This window comes from Homo sapiens, chromosome 11, assembly GCF_000001405.40.
Source record: "Homo sapiens chromosome 11, GRCh38.p14 Primary Assembly".
Lineage (NCBI taxonomy): Eukaryota > Metazoa > Chordata > Mammalia > Primates > Hominidae > Homo > Homo sapiens.
The window spans coordinates 66,917,049-66,939,341 of NC_000011.10; the positions used below are offsets into that span (position 1 = coordinate 66,917,049).

Here is a 22,293-nt window from a genome sequence, read left to right on the forward strand (position 1 = left end):
GCCCTCACCCCATGCAGGAATGTTTTTGTTTTTGTTCCTTTGAGACAGAGTCTTACTCTGTTGCCCAGGCTGGAGTGCAGTGGCACCATCTCAGCTCACTGCAACCTCAGCCTCACAGGCTCAAGGGATTCTCCTGCCTCAGCTTCCTGAGTAGCTGGGATTACAGGGGCGCGCCATCACACCCGGCTAATTTTTGTATTTTTAGTAGAGACGGGGTTTCATCGTGTTGGTGAGACTGGTCTCAAACACCTGGCCTCAAGTGATCCACCCCGCCTTGGCCTCCCAAAGTGCTGGGGGCCCAAACTGTGAGCCACTGTACCTGGTCCCCACTTAGAAATGTATATTAAAGCACTCTACTTATCAGAAGGGTCTATGCAAATTGGCGTAGGTTTCCAGAGATCACCCTTCACTTTTTCCTACCTAGGATGGAGTTCAAGAGCATAGAGAATTGATAAGCTAAGAGGTCAAGTCTGAAATTCTAGAACTAAGCTCCAAGGAAAACTAGAACCAGGCCGGGAGGACTGATGCTATTCTGAAGGCTGCGTTTGTTGCTTTGGACGCTGTCCTCAATCTTGTCTTGTGTATGTGTGTTGCCTTAGCTAGACGTAAGCTTCAGAATGTCTAACACCTACATGATGCCTGTCCACTGCTCTGGTGGACATGAAATTACTGATAAGGGGAAAGGGTCTGGAAAACTCCTGGCATTCTGTATAATAACGGAGAAATTTATCTGGCCTGAACTTGGGTTACCTGGGGCAAGAGGCACCTGAGCCCAGCCTCAGCCTTCTAGGATTACGGCACTCATACCCTGGGGTGAGCTGCAGGGAAAGACCTCCATGGGCAGCCTAGAGCCTGGGATGGTCCAGGAGGACCTCCTGCTGCAGGAAGGGGACAAACTGGAAGCTGGTTAGCTTTCCCCTAAGTTAGCACATACCTGATAGAGCACCCACCATCAATTGCAAAATCTTTAGTCAAATGCCCAAGTCCTTTCCCCCACAGCAGCCTGTGAGCCCTCTAGGTGGTGATAGAAACAGCAAATAGAATCCTTTTTCCTCCTCTTAAAGAATTTTGCATTAAAGAAAAATTCACATGCAAGGCAATTAAAATTCCTCTTTCCATTCCCAAGTCCTGTAGAAGGGAGGTACACAAACTATAATGTTTTGAGTCCACTAGAACCAACTCTGCAATTAACATTATACTTCTAGGTAGGGCGTGGTGGCTCATGCCTATAATACCAGCACTTTGGGAGGCTGAGGCAGGAGGATTGCTTGAGCCCAGGAGTTCAAGACCAGCCTGGGCAACAGAGTGAGACCTTATTTCAAAAAACATATACAAAATCTACTTTTTTTTTTTTTTTTAAAACAGAGTCTCGCTCTATTGCCCAGGCTGGAGTGCAGTGGCGCAATCTTGGCTCACTGCAGCCTCCGCCTCCTGGGTTCAAGAGATCCTGAGCAGCTGGGATTACATGCACGCGCCACCAAGTCCAGCTAATTTTTTGTATTTTTGTAGAGATGGGGTTTCACCATGTTGGCCAGGATGGTCTCGAACTCCTGAGCTCAAGTAATCCGCCCACCTCAGCCTCCCAAAGTGCTGGGATTACAGACGTGAGCCACCATGCCCAGCCCAACAAAATCTACTTCTGCCATTCTCTTTTTAGGGGTGTGGGTATAGAGATAAGTAGGGAGATAAGAGGCAGAAGAATAAATAAAAGGCTTCCTCACCCCCTAAGCCACGCCAAACACGTGTGACCTCCAAATAGTCTTCCCACTCTGGCCTCAAAGCAGAGCCCCAGCCCAGTGAAGAAGGCCCAGGAGGAGGGAGCAGCAACATTCAGAACATTCAGAACTTCTCCCTGGAAGATTTCATCTATCCAGAAGTTCCTCTAATAGGGCAGCTCAGAGAGGAACTAAACCAAGCCCCGTCAAGTTTCCAGCACCCATATCAACAAGAGGGTTTCTGGAGAGTCCCTGAAGACTCACATAATCCTGGGACTGTGGGCCCAGGTGGATTACCTCAAGCTGTCTAGGTTAGCCTCAAAAGGTGAAATGAATGGAAAAAACTTTCTATTTTCAAATTCTCTCTTCAAGCCAGGTGCGGTGGCTCAGGCTTGTAATCCCGGCACTTCGGGAGGCCAAGGGAGGTGCATCACTTGAGGCCAGGAGTTCCAGACCAGCCTGGCCAACAGGATGAAACCCTGTCTCTACTAAAAATACAAAAATTAGCCAGGCGTGGTGGCACATGCCTGTAATCCCAGCTACTCGGGAGGCTGAGGCATGAGAATCACTTGAACCTGGGAGGCAGAAGTTGCCATGAGCCAAGATTGAGCCACCGTACTCCAGCCTGGGCAACAGAGTGAGACTCTGTCTCAAAAATAAAACAATTATCCCTTCGCCCACACCCTTAAAGAATATTTTTGCAGAGCCCTGGGTGGGGCCTGTGACTCTGAGATCTCCAGGAGCTTGACAAGCTGGGAAGAGATGAGAAGTCATTGGCTGGCGAGGAAGGGCAGGGGGACGAGGTAGTGACAACAGTCAAATGGGCTCCAGCCAGAGGCAGTGAATACACCAGTGCTGAGGATCTGTGCTAGGAACAGCAAACAGATACCAAGGTTGGGGAGAGGGATCTAAGTCACTGAGAAAAGAATGAGGCCTGGTAGTGAGGAGCTTGGTTCAGGCATCCTCTTTGCATGAAGTCAGAACTGAAACCTAGGCGTTAGTGTTACAGCACTTTTAGAATTTGTCTAGCAGGCTTTCAGGTCTTTGCCAGAAAGCCCCATTAAAAATAAAAACAAAAACCTAAGCCATAAGTCCTGGAGAAGAGGTACAGAGATGCTGTATCACTCAAGAGGAATGCCTGGGTTTAGAAAATGGGCATCAGGTCAAAGGCACATCAGTGACCCAAACTTCTGCAAATGGCTTGATAATAGCAGTTACAGCCTTGAAATGTAGGTTACCATGGTGCCTAGCACAAAACGGTTGTTGAATGAATAAATGAATGAACGGACTCAGAACAAGGCTGGCTCATTCTGGTAATCAAACACAGAGAGAAGGCTGTGTAAGTGATGAGGGAGGACCCAGAGTATACCACGCCTCTTGCTGTGGCACAGAGGAGGGGAGGAGGGGAAAGACGAGAGAGATGGTGTTCTCAGACTTCACAGGCCAACACGATGAATCCAGCTGGCTCAGAAGACACCCTGCAGAAAGGTGCCAGGCTACTCATTGGAGGGAACTTCCCTGTAACTGGTATTTACCCAGCACCCCGTCACCCTCCTATGGGCAACAGAAATTTCTGTCTTCTTTTTCCTGCCACAAGCCCCTGCCTAACAGCTGAAACTGTTAGGAAAACCTGAAACTTAAATTCACCTTTGGAAAGAAGCCCCATATCTCGGATGATAAAGCTGGGACAAGCGGAGGGGGACAGGAAAATGGATATGGACCTAACACTGGAGAAAGTGGCAGCCCCGGGAAGGCCTGTCCCCTGGGGACCTGTTTGGAGCATCAGAGAGGACAGAGAGCCAACCCTATAAGCAACAGCTTCCCAGCAATCCCAAGAATCGTAGAGCCATTTCTTTGTCTTCGCCGCACCCTCCTCCAAGCAGCCTCCCCGCCTTGACTCCTTCCTTCTGTGGGGTATCAGAACTCCAACCTCCTCAGGGAACAGAGCTGGGCCTGGATGCAAATGTAACATGTTCAGGACATGGAAATACAGGCATGAGGCTGGGCGTGGTGGCTCACGCCTGTAATCCCAACACTTTGGGAGGCCGAGGCAGGTGGATCACCTGAGGTTTGAGACCAGACTGACCAACAAGGTGAAACCCCGTCTCTATTAAAAATACAAAAATTAGCCAGGCATGGTGGTAGGTGCCTGTAGTCCCAGCCACTCAGGAGGCTGAGACAGGAGAATTGCTTAAACCCAGGAGGCAGAGGTTGCAGTGAGCCGAGATCTCCAGGCTGGGTGGCGGAGCGAGACTCCGTCTCAAAAAAAAAAAAAAAGAACAGAAATACAGGCATGAGGCAAGGGCAACGTGGCTGAGGACGAAATGCCTTACTTGGCCCTTGGCTCAACGGCCACCTGACTGCATCCATTTATGTGCCAGTTCCCTTGGAGTCGTGAGGAAGACAAACCACTTTCACTAGGGCAACACGGAGCGTGGAAACGACCCCGCTAAAAACCCAGCTGCTTGCTAAAAACACTTCTCCTTTACATTTCTTCAAACTCTTGGGTAGGATTATCTTTCTTTTCCCGATAGCCTTAAAGAACCAGTATTTCAGGGAGGAAATAAAAGGAAAAAGAGAACAGAGGCCAAGGATAATTTTGTAAAACAGATGAAAACCAAGATGTCTAAGCAAAGAACCCTGCTTCCTCCCAGACCCCAGGCATTGCGTCAGATGCTACTGGGGTAGGAAAAATAAAAGGAAGCCAAAGACTCTGCAAAGGACACAAGCACAGAAATGACAAAGCAAAAACCTGGAGCCATTCAGGGAAATAAAAGCACAAACACACGGCCCTCTGGGGGTGGTGGCTTTGTTCTGGTGCAGGGGAAGGCAGGGGCATGGGCGGTGGGGTGGGAGACAGGAGCCTAGATCTGAGCTCTGCCACTCCCGAGCTGGATGGCCCTGGACAAGCAGTTCACCCCTTGGAGCCTCAGTTTCTTCAAGGTAACGCCTTTTACCTCCAGAGCTGTTGCAGTAAGTAGAGATAATACATGAAGAGGCCCCAGGACAGCAGAACAAACTTAGTTGCCATGATTATTCTACTGTTGTATTCTTTTATATAAATTTAGTTCTAGATGAGGAAAAACCAAACAGCAGATCCAAAACCACCCAAGAGTTCTAATCTCGTTTTCCCCACACTTTGGAACTGTCCCTGAGATCTGACTGTCAAGGATCTACAAAGAGAAAGCTGCCCACTGTGACATCACTCGCAAGGAGTTCTCTCCCTCACCCCATCTTCCTCATGACAATTCCCCTGTGCTTGTGAATGAGGGTAGGGGTCCCTTTGTCCCCATAAAGCCCAACCAGCACCTACAATCCCAGAATAGATTTACTGACGAAGTAAAGGGGTTTCAGAGAGTCTTAAGTCAGAGAGGAGAGTGTGGGGCTGGAAATCTAAACAGAATAACGACAAGAAAGATGAGGAGACAGCTACAGACAGTTGAACTTTCACTCAATAAATAACTGCACCATTCTAAGATTAAAACAGTCTTTCAGTCATCAGCATTGGCTGGAAAAAGCAATGAGCCTAGACCGGGCACAGTGGCTGAGACCTGTAATCCCAACACTTTGGGAGGCTGGGGCGGGCGAATCACTTGAGGTCAGCAGTTCGGGACCAGCTTGGCCAACATGGTGAAACCCCATCTCTACTAAAAATACAAAATTAGCTGGGCGTGGTGGTGCGCGCCTGTAATCCCAGCTACTTGGAAGGCTGAAGCAGGAGAATCGCTTGAACCCAGAAGGTGGAGGTTGCTTGTAGTGAGCCGAGATCGAAAGAGCAAGACTTTGTCTTAAAAAAAAAAAAAAAAAAAAAAAAAGCAATGAGCCTAGCTAGCACTTCCAGAGGTGCATCCACAACTCCAGCACTTCCAGAGGTGCATCAGGGATAAGTACCTGGTCTTCCTCCACTCTTTCATTTCTGTCTCTGGCCCAGATCCCCACATGGCTGCCAGCAACACAGCAACACAAGGAAGCCCAGAGCCACAGACAGCTGGAGAAGATGAGGCTTCTGCATCACTGAGATGGCTCATTAGTTTCACTTCACTTCTTAGGCTTTAACCCTGACTCTGATAAACCATCTTGTCCAAGCTTGCTGTTAGCTAAAACAGGGGTCTCAGACAGGGAGGCAAAGGTATGAGATTGTCCTTGTTCCTAGAAAAATGACTCTGAAGAAAAAAAGCAAGGCATAGTCAATAACACTAGCTTCATAAGGACAGAATGGCCCACCATTGCTGCCACATCCCATCTTGAGGCGTGCTGAGCAATGATGGCGCAGCAGGGAAAGGCGAACACACAATAATGTGGGGCAAGAAGTCGGGCTAGGCACCGGGCGCGGTGGCTCACGCCTGTAATCCCAGCACTTTGGGAGGCTGAGGCGGGTGGATCACGAGGTCAGGAGATCGAGACCATCCTAACACGATGAAACCCTGTCTCTACTAAAAATACAAAAAATTAGCTGGGCGGGGTGGCATGCAACTGTAGTCCCAGCTACTAGGGAGGCTGAGGCAGGAGAATCGCTTGAACCTGGGAGGCGGAGGTTGCAGTGAGCCAAGATTGCGCCACTGCACTCTAGCCTGGGAGACAGAGTCTAGCCTGGGAGATAGAGCGAGACTCCGTCTCAAAAAAAAAAAAAAAAAGAAGTCGTGCTAGGCACAGCTCCACCACATGACACAGGGAAAGAGAAAAGAGACCCATCGGTTCATTCCTTCCTTACAAGACAGCTATGGAATACATAGGATTTGGGTTTGTTTTTGTTGTTTTTGTTTTTGAGACAGAGTTTTGCTCCGTCGCCCAGGCTGGAGCGTAGTAGTGGCGCGATCTCGGCTCACTGCAACCTCCGCCTCCCAGATGCAAGTGATTCTCCCGCTTCAGTCACCCAAGTAGCTGGGATTACACATGTGCAGGTGCACCACCACACTCAACTAATTTTTGTATTTTTAGTAGAGATGGGGTTTCACCACATTGGCCAGGCTGGTCTCAAACTCCTGGCCTCAAGTGATCTGCCCACCTTGGCCTCCCAAAGTGCTAGGATTACAGATGTGAGCCACCATGCCCGGCCAATACAAAGGGTTTAAAAGGTCACAGAAAAGCACATAGCTTCAGAATGTCACAAGACCTCAAGGCAAAAAAAAAAAAAAAAAAGAGAAAAAGAAAAAAAGTGGCCAAGAAAAGTGGCTCACACCTATAATACCAGCACTTTGGGAGGCTAGGGCCAGTGGATCACATGAGGCCAAGAGTTCAAGACAAGCCTGGCCAACATGGCAAAACCATGTCTCTACTAAAATACAAAAATTAGCCAGGTGTGGTGGCACACACCTGTAATCCCAGCTACTTGGGAGGCTGAGACACAAGAATCGCTTGAACCCAGGAGGCAGAGGCTGCAGTGAGCTGAGATTGCGCCACTGTACTCTAGCCTGGGCGACAGAGCAAGACTCTATCTCAGAAAAAAAAAAAAAAAGAAAGAAAGAAAGAAAAGAAAGGAAAAGTTGAGCCAGGCATGGTGGCTCACACCTGTAATCCCAATGCTTTGTGAGGCTAAGATAGCAGGATTGCTTGAGGCCAGGAGATCAAGATCAGCCTGGGTAACATAGCAAGACCCCATCTCTACCAAAAAAAAAAAAAAAAAAAATTAGCTAGGCATGACAGTGCACACCTCAATTAAAAAAAAAGAAAGAAAGAAAGGAAAAAAGTTAGAAATTAAGGATGCTGACTTAGCAAAACAAATGGCACACTATTCTTCCTTCTTTTGGCACCATCTCAGCTCACTATAATCTCTGCTTCCCAGGTTCAAGTGATCTTCCCACCTCAGCCTCCTGAGTAGCTGAGACTACAGGTGCGCACCACAATGCCTGGCTAATTTCTTATAGATACAAAAAATTAGCATGTGTCAGGGTTTCACCATGTTGCCCAGGCTGGTCTTGAACTCCTCAGCTCAAGCAATCCACCCATCTTAGCCTTCCAAAGTGATAGGATTACAGGCCTTGTGAGCCACTGAGCCTAGCCTATTATTCCTTCTTATTTGCAAACAAGACAGACATGATCTTTGGACAAAAGGACAATGAAGGAGGGGAGGTATCGGGGGAAACAGCCCCTGATAGTCAGGTAGGTTCTTTTCTATTTTCCCTAAGTGTCAGCCAGTCTGAGAAATAAAGGGACAGAGTACAAAAGAGAGAAATTTTAAAGCTGGGTGTCCAGGGGAGACATCACATGTTGGCAGGTTCCGTGATGCCCCCCAGCCATAAAACCAGCAAGTTTTTATTAGTGATTTTCAAAAAGGGAGGGAGTGTACTAATAGGGTGTGGGTCACAGAGATCATGTGCTTCACAAGGTAATAGAATATCACAAGGCAAATGGAGGCAGGGCGAGATCACAGGACCACAGGACCGGGGTGAAATTAAAATTGCTAATGAAGTTTCGGGCACGCATTGTCATTGATAACATCTTATCAGGAGACATGGTTTGAGAGCAGACAACTGGTCTGATCAAAATTTATTAGGCGGGAATTTCCTCGTCCTAATAAGCCTGGGAGCTCTACGGGAGACTGGGGCTTATTTCATCCCTACGGCTTAGACCATAAAAGACGGCTGCCCCCGAAGCGGCCATTTCAGAGGCCTACCCTCAGGGACGCATCTCTTTCTCAGGGATGTTCCTTGCTGAGAAAAAGAATTCAGCAATATTTCTCCCATTTGCTTTTGAAAGAAGAGAAATATGGCTCTGCTCCGCCCAGCTCACCGGCAGTCAGAGCTTAAGGTTCTCTCTCTTGTTCCCTGAACATCGCTGTTATCCTGTTCTTTTTTCAAGGTGCCCAGATTTCATATTGTTCAAACACACATGCTCTACAAACAATTTGTGCAGTTAACACAATCATCACAGGGTCCTGAGGCGACATACATCCTCCTCAGCTTACAAAGATGATAAGATTGAAAGATTAAAGGCAGGCATAGGAAATCACAAGGGTATTGATTGGGGAAGTGATAAGTGTCCCTGAAATCTTCACAATTTATGTTCAGAGATTGCAGTAAAGATAGACATAAGAAATAAAAGTATTAATTTGGGGAACTAATAAATGTCCATGAAATCTTCACAATTTATGTTCTTCTGCCATGGCTTCAGCGGGTCCCTCCGTTCAGGGTTCCTGACTTCCCGCAACAGGGAGGGGAGTTAAAAAAAAAAAAAAAAGAAGGCAATGGCATCATACATCGTAGGCTACTGTCTAGCAGAAGGTATCTAAGAAGTTTTTTAGAAGAAAATGAGTCAAACTCAAGATGCAGAGAAGATAATGAAATGATATGGCAAAAAGATAAGAAGCATGTTTCTTTGCAGATGTGGAATTGCTTGGAGGACTGTGATAAAGGCCACTGTCCAGGCAAGGCCATTATCTGAATCTCTTATAATTAGCAGATATTACCCTTGTGATCAGAAAAGGCAAGCAAACTATTTCTATCTGAAATATACCACTTACAAATATAAAATGTACAGCTCTTACTGAAAGGCTAACAGTTTAAGGAATATTTTCTTTTGAAATAATCTGGAACAGAAAGTAATTATCTACACTAATGAAACAGGAATAGCAAGCAAAGATAATTCAATAAATATTTATAGAGTACTTCTTAAGTGCTTGGCATCACATAGGAAGCAGAATTTTTTAAAAAGCTTATCAGACTTTGAAAGTAAGGCTTACCATTATCAATGATCACAAAATCCTGGAAATAAGCCAAGTATTCAACAGTAGGCAAACAGTTAAACAAATCATGGCAAGTCAACACAACCGGGGTCTAGGGACATGACCAACTAGAATTGTTTAATATATAGGCCTAATGATGCACATATTCTGGTTACCAGTACTATACAGTTCAGTGGTTTTTAGCATATTTATAATGTTGGTAACCAACTATCCAATTCCAGAACCTTTTCATCACTCCAAAAAGAAACCTGGTACCACTAGCTGTCATTCCCCATTCCCACCCACCCCCAGCCCCTGGCAACCAGTAATCTGCTTTCCATCTCTATGGCCTATTCTGGATATTTCCTAGAAATGTCATATAGTATGTGACCTTTTGTGTCTGGCTTCTTTTGCTTAGCACAATGTTTTCATGGTTCATCCATGTCGTAGCATGTGTCAGAACTTCACTCCTTTTTATGGCTGAACAACATTCCACTGGATGGGTAGGCCACATTTTGTTTAGCCATTCATTGGTTGATGAACATCTGGGTTGTTTCCACCTTTTGGCTCTTTTTTTGTGTTTTGAGACGGAGTTTTGCTCTCGTCGCCCAGGCTGGAGTGCAATGGCATGATCTCGGCTCACTGCAACCTCTGCCTCGCAGGTTCAAGCGATTCTCCCACCCTCAGTCTCCTGAGTAGCTGGGATTACAGGCATGCACCATCATGCCCAGCTAATTTTTTTTTGTATTTGAATAACGCTGCTGTGAACGCTCACACATATATTACATTTTAAATATGTAATTTTTAACTATCCAGGCTGGCCTCCCCTAGTCATGCTTTAATTAGTCAAGGACTTGAACTCAGCAGTATGACTCTAGAGCTCGACTCCCAGCCACACCAGTGTACTCCCGTACTCCTCTGGTTTTCATTCTCTGATAGGAAACACACACAGCAGCCCAGGAATGCGCTGGATGGCAGTAGAAATTTAAAAGTCACTGTTAAAAATCAGCCAGGCAAGCTGGGCGCAGTGGCTCATGCCTGTAATCCCAGCACTTTGGGAGGCTGAGGTGGGTGGATTGCCTGAGGTCAGGAGTTCAAGACCAGCCTGGCCAACACAGTGAAACCCCATCTCTACTAAAAATACAAAAAATTAGCTGGGCCTGGTGGCAGGTGCCTGTAGTCTCAGCTACTAGGGAGGCTGAGGTAGGAGAATCGCTTGAACCCGGGAGGCAGTGGTTGCAGTGAGCTGAGATCGTGCCACGGCACTCCAGCCTGGGCAACAAGAGCGAAAGTCCGTCTCAAAAAAAAAAAAAAAAGATAGAATCTGGGATGCCAACTTTGGGTTCTGCTTTCCCCACTAGAAAGGGCTGGATGGTGTCAAGCCTACTCAAGGGGAGAGGGTAGTAAGGAAGCCTGGAGACTAGATCATGGGAAACAAGAAAGGTTTGTCGAATTGGGACTAAGAGAAAGAAGAAAATAATGTAAAGGAGAAATTTACATGAAGAGACAGAGAGGGAACTAAGTTCTAAGATGAACAATACAAGCAAACATAACACTATACATCTGCTTGTTGGTTTCGGCCACAGACATGAAGCCACAAAGGGACGTGTGGATTTCAGATGCCTATGTTGTGCCACTGCTTGGCTCCAGGGTCTACCACCTTCAGAAGCCCACCTGTGGCAGGCCGGGTATGGTGTCTCACACCTGTAATCCAGCACTTTGGGAGCCTAAGGCGGGCGGATCACAAGGTCAGGAGATCGAGACCATCCTGGCTAACACGGTGAAACCCCATCTCTCCTAAAAATACAAAAAAATTAGCCAGGCGCGGTGGTGGACACCTGTAGTCCCAGCTACCTGGGAGGCTGAGGCAGAAGAATTGCTTGAGCCCAGGAGGCAGGATCGCAGTGAGCTGAGATTGTGCCACTGCACTCCAGCCTGGGCGACAGAGTGAGACTCCATCTCAAAAAAAAAAAAAAAAACAAGAATCAGGCCAGCCTGAAATTAGCACCTACCAAGATGAACTTGGCAGCAGCAGAATGACCATGGGGTGTTCAGTCTACCTAGTAGTGCAAAAAAAAAAATAATGTGAGCATTAATTATTATTATTATTATTATTTTTGAGACAGAGTCTCGCTCTTGTTGCCCAGGCTAAAGTGCAATGGAGCGATCTCAGCTCACTGCAACCTCCGCCTCCCAGGTTCAAGCGATTCTCTGGTCTCAGCCTCCTGAGTTGCTGGGATTACAAGCATGTGTAACCTTGCCTGGCTAATTTTGTATTTTTAGTATAGACGGGGTTTCTCCATGTTGGTCAGGCTGGTCTTGAACTCCCAACCTCAAGTGATCCACCTACCTCCGACTCCCAAAGTGCTGGGATTACAAGCATGAGCCACCGTGCCTGGCCATGAGCATTACTTATTATGGGCAATTTCAGAAATCAAAAGGCTAAAATAGCAAAATATTTGGGAAAGAAACACTACATGAAAGTGGGAATCTGCAACCAGGGACAAGGAGGGTCAGGGTCTAAAATAGGGTCATACCATTTTTTAAAAGGGCCTGTGTATGATTCCTGCTCTGTAAGCAACCCTATCTGTACTATTTATTGAATGCTAGAATGGACTTAGCCACCATCTAAGACTTACCTAGTACCGACAGGTCAACCAAGGATCTTTAAACCAGAAGAGGCTGACCCCAGAGATTCTATCTCCCATTATAAATCCATAAAGTAGCCTTCTGGGACAAATCAGTGTCATGTGAGTTTGAAATATGAGTCAGATTTCCAGGCCCAGGCATAGTACTAAAATTCTGGGGGAGTGGCCGAAACCACTTCTGTCTCATCGCTGTGGTGCTGGCAGCCTTACTTCTCAAATGTGAAATCCAGCAACCCCTGAGAATGGAAGCCATAACCCTAGGGATGCAAAGGCTCATCTTGAAAGTGCTACTTTATTTTTGTTTTGTTTTTTTGAGACAGAGTCTCGCTCTGTCCCCCAGGCTGGAGTGCAGTGGCCCAATCTCAGCTCACTGCAACTTCTCTCTCCCAGGTTCAAGCAATTCTCTTGCCTCAGCCTCCCAAGTAGCTGGGACCACAGGTGTATGCCACCATGCCCGGCTAATTTTTGTATTTTTAGTAGAGACAAGGTTTCACCATGTTGACCAGGGTGGTCTCGAACTCCTGAACTCAAGTGACCCACCCACCTCGGCCTCCCAAAGTGCTGGGATTACAGGTGTGAGCCACGGTGCCTGGCCTTCTTTTTATTTTTTACATATTTTTTTGAAACAGAGATGGAGGTCTCACTATGTTGCCCAGGCTGGTTTCAAACTCCTGGGCTCAAGTGATCTTTCCACCTTGTCCTCCCAAAGTGTTAGGAATACAGGCATGAGCCACCACGCCTGGCCAGATTAAATTTTGTCTTAAAAGCATAGGCAAGCTGGCAAGAAAATAAGGAACATTCAGGCTAAAACCCTAAGGAGGAGAAACAGGGAGGTAAGTTAACACTGAAGCTTTTATCTAGATGGCATTTGCAGAACTAGGCAAACCTGAGCTTCAGTTTTCAAAGCCTCAAAAGGTCACAGAAGCACGGCCCAGAGCCCAGCCACGGTGGGAAATCTAAAGAGATCTTACCCCCAGTGAAGTTGGGACTTCCAAAGGATACTCCCTTAACGTAACAGTGAACCACCAAGAAACTTGATGTACCCTTCCCTGTCCCCAAGAGCTACCTGCAAGAAAAATCAACTGTCTAAATCCTTGGCAGGTAGAAAAACAAAAGCAGGTAGAAAAACAAAAAACTCCCCCCAAGAAGCTGCAATCACAAAACAGCCCTCACACAGACTTGCAGTCCAAAGTTGTACTACCTGGGCGATCAGAAAATACTCAGTGCTCCTACTGATGGCAGGAGAAGGGCAAATTAGTTTTCAAAACCTCAAATCTTTGGTTTCGGATAACCTAGAAGAGTTAGACATGCCAGCAACTCCACTCCTAGTTTATACCCCACAGAAATTCTTGCTCATGTGTTCCAGGAGCCATATGTAAGAATGTTCCTGCTGGACGTGGTGGCTCATGCCTGTAATCCCAGCACTTTGGGAGCCTGAGGCAGGCGGATCACCTGAGTTCAGGAGTTCAAGACCAGCCTGGCCAACATGGCGAAACCCTGTCTCTATTAAAGATACAAAAATTGGTTGGGCATGGTGGCACACCCCTGTAATCCCAGCTACTTGGGAGGTTGAGACAGGAGAATCATTTGAACTCGGGAGTCAGAGGTTGTAGTGAGCCAAGATCACACCACTGCACTTCAGCCTGGGCGACAGAGCAAGACTCTGTCTTAAAAAAAAAAAAAAAAAAAAAAAAGTTCCCAGCAGGGTTATTCCTGAGAGAGGAAAAAAAACAAAAGGCAGACCAAGGCCTTCTTGGCAACAGGGCAACAGAAAGGATCAACACACTGTGGATATTCATTCAATGGAAAGCTCTACGGCAGTGAACATGAACAGAGCCATGTGCATCCACATGGACGAATCACAAATGTAATGCTGAGCAAGTCACAGAAATCTACTGTAGGATTCCATGTCCAGGTGTTCAAAACCAGGCAAAATTCAACAATAAGTTATTCAGAGGTTGGCTATCGGTGGGAAAACTAACAAGAACAAGAGAATAAATATCACAAAATTCAGAATAGCTGGGGTGCCAGGTGTGGTGGCTTACATCTGTCATCCCAGCACTTTGGGAGGCTGAGGTGGGCGGATCACCTGAGGTCAGGGGTTCAAGACCAGCCTGGCCAACATGGTGAAACTTCGTCTCTACTAAAAATACAAAAATTAGCCGGGCATGGTGGCACACACCTGTAGTCCCAGCTACTCAGGAGGCTGAGGCAGGAGAATCACTTGAACCCAGGAGGCAGGGGTTGCAGTGGGCCGAGATGGCACCACTGCACTCCACCCTGGACAGCAGAGTGGCAAGATTCCATCTCAAGAAAAAAAAAAAAAAAAAAAAAAGGAATAGCTGAGGGAAGGGACTTCAACCGGGGAGGGAACATAGGGGGCTTATATGGTCCTAACCTTAACCTAGGGATGGGAACATAGATGTTCATTTTACTATTTTGTTTTAACATACTCATATGTTTTAAACATGTCTTCTGTTAAGTGTGGGATTTTGCAATAAACAAATGGCAAAATGAAGAAAAAAAAACATGCAATGGCACACAGAGTACTGCAGACTTTTTATTTGTGCTGACATCGGACGATTTCCAAGATACACTGATAAATGAAAAGGGCATGGAGCAGAAAGGGCACAGGAGAAACAAACAATAGATATATGTTTCTGTAGCCGGGCGCAGTGGCTCACGCCTGTAATCCCAGCACTTTGGGAGGCCAAGGCAGGTGGATCACAAGATCAGGAGATAGAGACCATCCTGGCTAACACGGTGAAACCCCATCTCTACTAAAAATACAAAAAACATTAGCCGGGCATAGTGGCAGTTGCCTGTAGTCCCAGCTACTCAGGAGGCTGAGGCAGGAGAATGGCGTGAACCCGGGAGGCGGAGCTTGCAGTGAGACAAGATCACGCCACTGCACTCCAGCCTGGGCGACAGAGCGAGACTCTGTCTCAAAAAAAAAAAAAAAAGAAAAAGAAAAAGAAAAAAGGAAATATGTTTCTATTTCAAAGGGCAGACCACCTCCAAGAGGACAGACAAGATAATTTAACCGGAAGTGGCCTCCTGGGAGGGGACTGGGTTACTGGGGAGAGAGGAAAAAGGAGACTCATACATTTCAATGTTTGTACAAGGTGCAAGTATTACATAGCTAAACTGAATACCTTTTTTTTTAAGTTAAACACTAACTCTTTGGATTACCGCTTGGTAACCTGCTAGAAGACTATTAGGTTCAACAGTAGCATCTCTGAGGAGTTACCTAGGTCATACCTGGGCTTCCTTGGCCCCATCAGTAACTGTTACATGAGACCTGTTTTCAGCATGGAAGGCACTCTACCATCTCAAATGATTTCAATGGGAGGGTAGAACTCCAGCCCATTCAAGCCCAGGGTTCCACAGAGACCCCTTGGTTGGACTCTGTCAATGACTAAACCCTTGGGCTTACGCTGCTGGGCTAGCTGATGTGGGACAAAAATCTCGCAGATGCAGTGGCCGAAATGTCCTTTCGGGGCCATAAATCTGCTAGGAATGGCTGCATTTGCCCTTTAGCCCAGAAGTATCCTTAATCTGGCCCTGGGGGGAAAGCCTCTTTAAACTGTGTGTTCTCTCCAGCTGGAGAAGCTAGCCATCGGGGAAAGAAAACTGATTCAGAACTGCAAAAGCAATAAAGAAAGAAGCCAGATACAGGACCAGACACAGATCTTTTCTTGGAAGGTAAATCATACCATCCCTTATCTTGTGAATTTAGTCTCAATTATGTCCCCTGTTGGCAGCAAATGCCCTGTCTTTTCTGCACACCAAAACCCATTCCAAAGTCCCAGCACCAGGAACTATGAATATCAAGAAGTAGTTGGGAGAAAAACAGAAACAAGTGTTCTTAATTCATATTTTGTGTCTGCTAGGAGAATCCTTCGTCTAAAATACCTCTTCCACCATGCACCTAAAAAATCCAACGGAAAACCTCAACCTCTTAACTCTAACACCTACAAATACTTTGTTTTGATCAGTGTAAATCTGTTTGCTAGGAGGCAGTTTCAGCTTCCACCTATCCCGCCCTGGAAGCAAGGCGAAAGCTCCAAGTACCCTGAAGGTGTCTCTCTCCTGACAGCTCTTCCAGAGGCCTCAGCCCTTCAGCCCAGGCTCACCAAGCAGTAGGCAGCCTACCACAGATGAGATGCAACTGTCTCACCCAGAAACCGTCAGATGAGGAGAAATGGGAGGCACTAAGAGGCAAGAACTGGGGAAAATCAGCTCAAGAATCTTCAGGCCCTACCAGCCCTTTCTCCTCTCTGGGTAACATTTTCTCCGGGTAAGTCTCAACGCTTATTGCTCTGGTCTCAAGCTATCTCAATTTTCTCAGGAAATGCTGAGTTGGGCTTAAAAGCCCACCATCCCGAAAGATGGTGCCCTGTCCCAATTCCCTATTTCTTTTCTATTTGTCTCTCCACTTTTCCCCGACCTCAGGTCTTGGAGTCAGCTCCCTTTAGCTAAATAAATGGGGTGGCTTTTTCCATCCTGCATTTCAAGATGAAGATTGAGCTGCAATTTAGAGCTCTCCAATCCCTCCCTCCACTTGGCCCCATGACAACTTTTCTTCTGTGACACTTTATATTTGCCACCTCCTTCCCATTGCAACCACTTCCCTAACCTCCACTTGCATCATTCCGGAATGTCTGAGTTACATTCCCTGCTGAGCTAGTCCCCACCCAACCTCTGCCTCTCCCCATTCCCAGGCAGCCACCCACTCCGCCCAGAGGTTTTCCAAAAATCCCATTCACCTCTGGGTAGTCCTGGCTCAAGCATCTCAGGGGCTTCTTATTGTCTCAAATCCCAACACGCAGCTGGGGTTCACAGAATGAACTTCCAGCCCTAATGCTCACTACGCCCCACCAGCACACTCCAACATTGCTTCCCAAGTGCTAGGCCCTGAGGATTCCACAGTGATCAATGCAGGCACAACCTCCACCCTTGCCGGCTTCCCACTGCCTTCCTCCACGCCAGCGAGGCTGGGGCATCACCCTCTGTCTCATCACCTGGCCTCACTCCCATTGCCACTGTCCGGGGGCACCCGCCTCCTACGAACTCAAATATCACACATGCGAGGACCAGCTCCTCCACCCACCTGAGAGAGTCCCCTCATCTTGCAGGGCCTCGGATTCACATATTCTACCCTCAAGGGGTTCACTTCTAACTGTTCATCACTGGTCCCATTAACAGAGCCACCATTACGGTGTGTCCAAGTGTCAGGCACATGACTGTGTGATTTCATTTGTTTATGTGTTATTTCATTTGTACAGAATGAACGTGTGTTATTTCATTTGTACAAAAGTTATTGCATTTGATCTCTACCCAACAGCCCCCACTGGTTGGTTTCCTCATCTATAAAATGGGGGTAGTAAGACAAGGAAGGAAGGTCTTACTGCCCTCATTTTATAGATGAGGAAACCAAGGCTTGAAGAAGCTAAGGAACTTGCTGATCAGGGCTAAGCCTGAACTCCATCCTGTCCGCCTGACTCCAGGGTCCATGCTCTCAACTCTGCTATGCCACTCCCCGGTAATTCCCTATGTGTGTTTTGTTTTTGTTTTTGAGATACAGTCTCACTCTGTTGCCCAGGCTGGGGTGCAATGGCACGATCTTGGCTCACTGCAACCTCTACCTCCTGGGTTCAAGTGATTTTCCTACCTCAGCCTCCCACCACACCCAGCTAATTTTTTGTATTTTAGTAGAGATGAGGTTTCACCATGTTGGTCAGGCTGGTCTCGAACTCTTGACCTCAGGTGATCCACCCGCCTCGGCCTCCCAAAGTGCTGGGATTACAGGTGTGAACAACCGCGCCCAGCCCCCTGTGTATGTTTATGCATTTAGCATCTCACCTGGCACAGAAGCAGGATCAATGAGGTCATTACTACTCTTCCACGCTAGCCAGTCACTATGCAAGCATGTATTTTGTCCAGCACGTGCATTCCCTCTCTCCCAACCACGGATAAACAACTCAGGGCAAGGCCACCTTGTCAGATCCTCCTGTGGCCTCACAGCATCCAGTAAGGAGCTGTGCATAGCACAGATGCACAGTAAATGCTGAAGGAAAGAACCATTTCTTGGAGTACTGCCCAGTAATAACTTGTCCTCCTTAAGCCACTCAGTCAACTGAGAAAACGCAGGATTAGAAAATGGGGCATTCATTCTGCTAGATACTGATTGCCACGTAAGAATATCAGAAGTATAAATGGACAGAAAGATGGCTCAGGTCAGCAAAAACACAAATAGCTATTTTGCAACCAGTTGGAATGGGGCAGTCAAAAGCCAGGAGGGCTGAAGAAAACCTTACAGTCTTACTGAAACAGCCTTGGGCAACATGGCAGGGAGAAGAGCCCTGCCTTAGATGGAGGTAGACTCCCAGTTGGCCACAAGCCATGCGACAACAAATGGCTCTTATGATAAAAGCTGCAAACGTCCATGAAGTGATAACTTCAGAAGGAAAGGGGAGGGTCTCAGGTTGGTCTTTTCAGCCCTGTGCACTGTAACACCCTGCCACACCATATTGCAACATCCTGTGGAACGGCAGCATATTCTGAGAACCTCAGGCCAGAATCTGGTTTGCTGCTGTCAGAGCTTGGCTATAACTCTTCCTAGTGAAGCTGAGAGAGACACTGAACCTCTCTGAACCTCGGGTCTGTCATCCATAAGCAGCAAAACCACAACCATAACCAGTTCCAGGGAAAACTGGTTGATAAAATAAAACTAGCCAAGTGCTGTAGCTCATGCCTGTAATCCCAGCACTTCAGGAGGCCGAGGCAGGAGGATCGCTTGAGCTCAGAAGTTTGAGACCAGCCTGGGCAACACAGTCTTTACAAAAAATACAAAAACTAGCCAGGCATGGTGGCACATGCCTGTAGTCCCAGCTACTCAGGAGGCTCAGGTGGGAGGATCATTTGAGCCTTGGAAGTTGAGGCTGCAGTGAGCTGTGATTGCACCACTGCACTCCAGCATGAGTGACAGAGTGAGACCCTGTCTCAAAAAAAAAAAAAAAAAAAATCAGCTGGGTGTGGTGGCACATGCCTGTAGTCTCAGCTACTTGGGAGGCTGAGGTGGGAGCATTGCTTGAGCCCAGGAGGTGGAGGCTACAGTGAGCTTGGATGGTGCCACTGTACTCCAGCCTCGTGACAGAGCAAGACCCTGTCACACACACACACAAAAAAAAGGTGGGGGGGGAGAGAAAAAAAGAAAAAAATGAAATAAAAAAACTATAAAGTGCTACACACACATAAGGGATATTATCAAGAACAGAACATCAGCAGTCAGCTCCATATGGTGTCCTGGAGTAACACTAGTTGAGATTAGACCCCAGTATTTGCTGACGTCTTGATGGTTAATGGGCAGGGGAGAGGCCACCAATATTGTTATTGGCAATTGCTCTATTTTTCTTGAGGTAAAGGGTAAATTCCCCTTTGTGAGCAAAACATCTTTTTCTGTATTGTAATTCCATTCTGCTATCTCCAAGCATTCAGTAAAATGTTGTGAAATGCCTGACAGGTCGTTTGTGTATTTAAGGCAATATGGTATGAAGGGTGAAGCAACAGCCCTGAGGCAGGGAGAACTAGGCAACATACAGAAGAGAACAGCTGGCCAAGGAAATAACCAAGCCAGACAGATGACATTCATTTAACCTATGTTTTTCACTCCCTAACTATGTTCCAAACTTGGTGGAACACATAAGCATCCCTGGGTATTTGTAGAAAAACTTGGGGAAGGGAACTCTATAAAAGATAGGTCTTCTTTTTTTTTTAAGATGGAGTCTTGCTCTGTCACCCAGGCTCCCAGGCTGGAATGCAGTGGCGCGATCTTGGCTCACTGCAACCTCCGCCTCCCAAGTTCAAGCAACGATTCTCGTGCCTCAGCCCCCTAAGTAGCTGGGACTACAGGTATGCACCACCACGCCTGGCTAATTTTTGTATTTTTGGTAGAGATGGGGGTTTCGCCATGTTGGTCAGGCTGGTCTCGAACTTCTGACCTCAAATGATCCACCCGTCTGGGCCTCCCAAAGTGCTGGGATTACAGGTGTAAGCCACTGTGCCCGGCCTAAAGACAGGCCTTCCTACAGGTCAAGGAAGCTTGACTAATTGTTATTAGGGATTAAATTGAAAAACTGTCCCTGAAGACAAAGAGGTCAGGACCATCTAAGACTCAAAAGTCCAATAATTACAGTTGAAGGTTTTGCCTTCAACAGTGTTCATCCCACTATCTCCTGGCTCCCATGATTTCTGAGGAGAAATGAGCTGTTAATCTGATCAAAGATCCTTTGAACAAGATAAGTTGCTCATCTCTTGCTGCTTTCAAGATTCTTTGTCATTTGACACTTTGATTATGAAATATCTAGGTGTGGATCTCTGATATTCATCCTCATTGGAGTTCACTGAGCTTCCTGAGTGGGTAGGTTACTGTTTTTCATCAGCTTGTGGCCATTCTTTCTGACCCTTTCTCTCCTCTCCTTCTGGGACTCTCATGATGCATATGTTGATTTGTGTGACGGTGCACCATGGGTCTCTGAGGCTGTTAATTTTCCTTCATTCTTTTTTCATTAGCCTGAAAAATCTCAAGGTACCATCTTCAAGCTTGCTGATTTTTTTCTGCCTGCTCAAATCTGCTGTTCAGCCTCTAGTGAATTTTTCATGTCAGTAACTACACAGTTCAACTCCAGAATTTCTGGGTTTTTTTTGTTTTTTTTTTTTTTGAGACTGAGTCTTGCTCTGTTGCCTAGGCTGGAGTACAGTGATGCCATCTCAGCTCACTGCAATCTCCACCTCCCAGGTTCAAGCGATTCTCCTGCCTCAGCCTCCTGAGTAGCTGGGACTACAGGTGCGTGCCACCACACTCAGCTAATTTTTTGTATTTTTAGTAGAGACGGGGTTTCACTGTGTTAGCCAGGATGGTCTCGATCTCTCGACCTCGTGATCCACCTGCCTTGGCCTCCCTCTATTTGGTGAGACACTCTTCTCACATTTTCCTTAAGTTCTTTAGACAAATTTAAAATAGTTGATTTAACATCATTGTCTATGAAGTCCAACATCTAGGCTGGAAAAGACTGTGTCTTTCCTGTGTATGAACCATACTTTCTTGTTTCTTTGCATGCCTCATAACTTTTTGTTGAAAACAAGAATAACTTTTTTCTGCGATTTTTCCTGAATAAATGTGTCTTAGATTGTTGCAAGCCTTTGGTTAATTTCTCGAGTTCTGAAAAAGTTGGTTTTAATCATTTTTGCCAGTTTTCTCATTCCTTTAAATGGAGGAACAGCATTTATGAAGTCCTCACTCCACCACTCCCCAGCAATCTATATCTCATATGGCATTTAGAAAGAGGTTTTCATCCCCCAAAACAATTTTTTGGAAAAGAGGGGTAAAAGAGTCAAACTCTGATATTTAAGTACCTAGTACTCGACCGTAAGCCCCAAGTAGTGTTATGAATTGCACCCTTCTCTAATTAGATTTTTTAAATTGATAACTTAAAATTAAAACATCCTATAAAGAAAAAAATACTATATAGAAAATTTTTTAAACACATAATTTTGTAACTCCAGCAACCTGAACAAATTGTTGGTATAGCATTCCAAAATAACAAAAAATGAGATATTATACATTCTGTTTTATAATATATATTTTTTGTGTAAAGGCATCATAGCTCTCGTCCTATGGTAATAAATTTAGAGTGACAGCTTGATTAGGATACATGAGCTATTTTTAAAGGCTACATCATATGACACAGAACAGACTTCATATGTAGCAATCATTTTCTGATGTACGTTTTGGTGATTTCCCATTTTCTGCTATCACCTCATATGTTTGCACGCCTGTCCCATGATACCACAGGTTACATTTCTAGAACTGGAATTGCTGTGTTAAATGACTTGACATTTTAGGTTTCATCTTCTCTGCACCCCCCAGTCATTTAATACTGGCCCTATGGTGAAGCACATTTTCCCTCCTCTTTGAGAGCAGAGTCGTCACTCAGTGACATCACTGCCTTCGTTTACTATATGGTCAGCCCTCTGTATCTGTGGGTTCCACATCCACTCATTCAACCAACTGGGGATCAAAAATATTCGAAAAAGCAAAATAAAAAATGACAATACAACAATAAAAAATAATACAAATAAAAACAATACAGTATAAGAACTATTTACATGGCATTTACATTGGATTGGGTATTTTAAGTTATCCAGAGATGATTTAAAGTACACAAGATGATATGCATAGGTTATATGCAAATACTATGCCATTTTC

At 46.1% G+C, this 22,293-nt stretch overlaps 1 protein-coding gene, 1 non-coding gene and 1 pseudogene across 8 annotated transcripts in view, besides 4 other annotated features; 1 reads left to right on the forward strand and 2 right to left on the reverse strand.

Moving 5' to 3' along the window:
* The window catches only part of PC (pyruvate carboxylase), a 109,964-nt gene that overhangs the window by 68,629 nt on the left and 19,042 nt on the right, over window positions 1-22,293 (reverse strand). The window lies entirely within an intron of this gene.
* On the forward strand, window positions 2,715-2,774 carry RNU7-23P (RNA, U7 small nuclear 23 pseudogene; annotated as a pseudogene).
* Window positions 2,901-3,000: an enhancer, noted in NCBI's record as "active region_5060". NCBI's record gives its function as "activates an Ori minimal core promoter by ATAC-STARR-seq in GM12878 lymphoblastoid cells {active_cell/tissue: GM12878}" and the evidence as "EXISTENCE:reporter gene assay evidence [ECO:0000049][PMID:35858748]".
* Window positions 4,101-5,041: an enhancer, noted in NCBI's record as "H3K27ac-H3K4me1 hESC enhancer chr11:66688620-66689560 (GRCh37/hg19 assembly coordinates)". NCBI's record gives its function as "activates a minimal SCP1, AML or CMV promoter by ChIP-STARR-seq in naive H9 embryonic stem cells {active_cell/tissue: H9 hESC(naive)}" and the evidence as "EXISTENCE:reporter gene assay evidence [ECO:0000049][PMID:30033119]".
* Window positions 6,022-6,522: an enhancer, noted in NCBI's record as "H3K4me1 hESC enhancer chr11:66690541-66691041 (GRCh37/hg19 assembly coordinates)". NCBI's record gives its function as "activates a minimal SCP1, AML or CMV promoter by ChIP-STARR-seq in primed H9 embryonic stem cells {active_cell/tissue: H9 hESC(primed)}" and the evidence as "EXISTENCE:reporter gene assay evidence [ECO:0000049][PMID:30033119]".
* Window positions 7,296-7,947: an enhancer, noted in NCBI's record as "H3K27ac hESC enhancer chr11:66691815-66692466 (GRCh37/hg19 assembly coordinates)". NCBI's record gives its function as "activates a minimal SCP1, AML or CMV promoter by ChIP-STARR-seq in naive H9 embryonic stem cells {active_cell/tissue: H9 hESC(naive)}" and the evidence as "EXISTENCE:reporter gene assay evidence [ECO:0000049][PMID:30033119]".
* Window positions 17,386-17,458, reverse strand: MIR3163 (microRNA 3163). Its single transcript, NR_036121.1, has one exon. It is a non-coding gene; the product is annotated as a microRNA 3163 (primary transcript).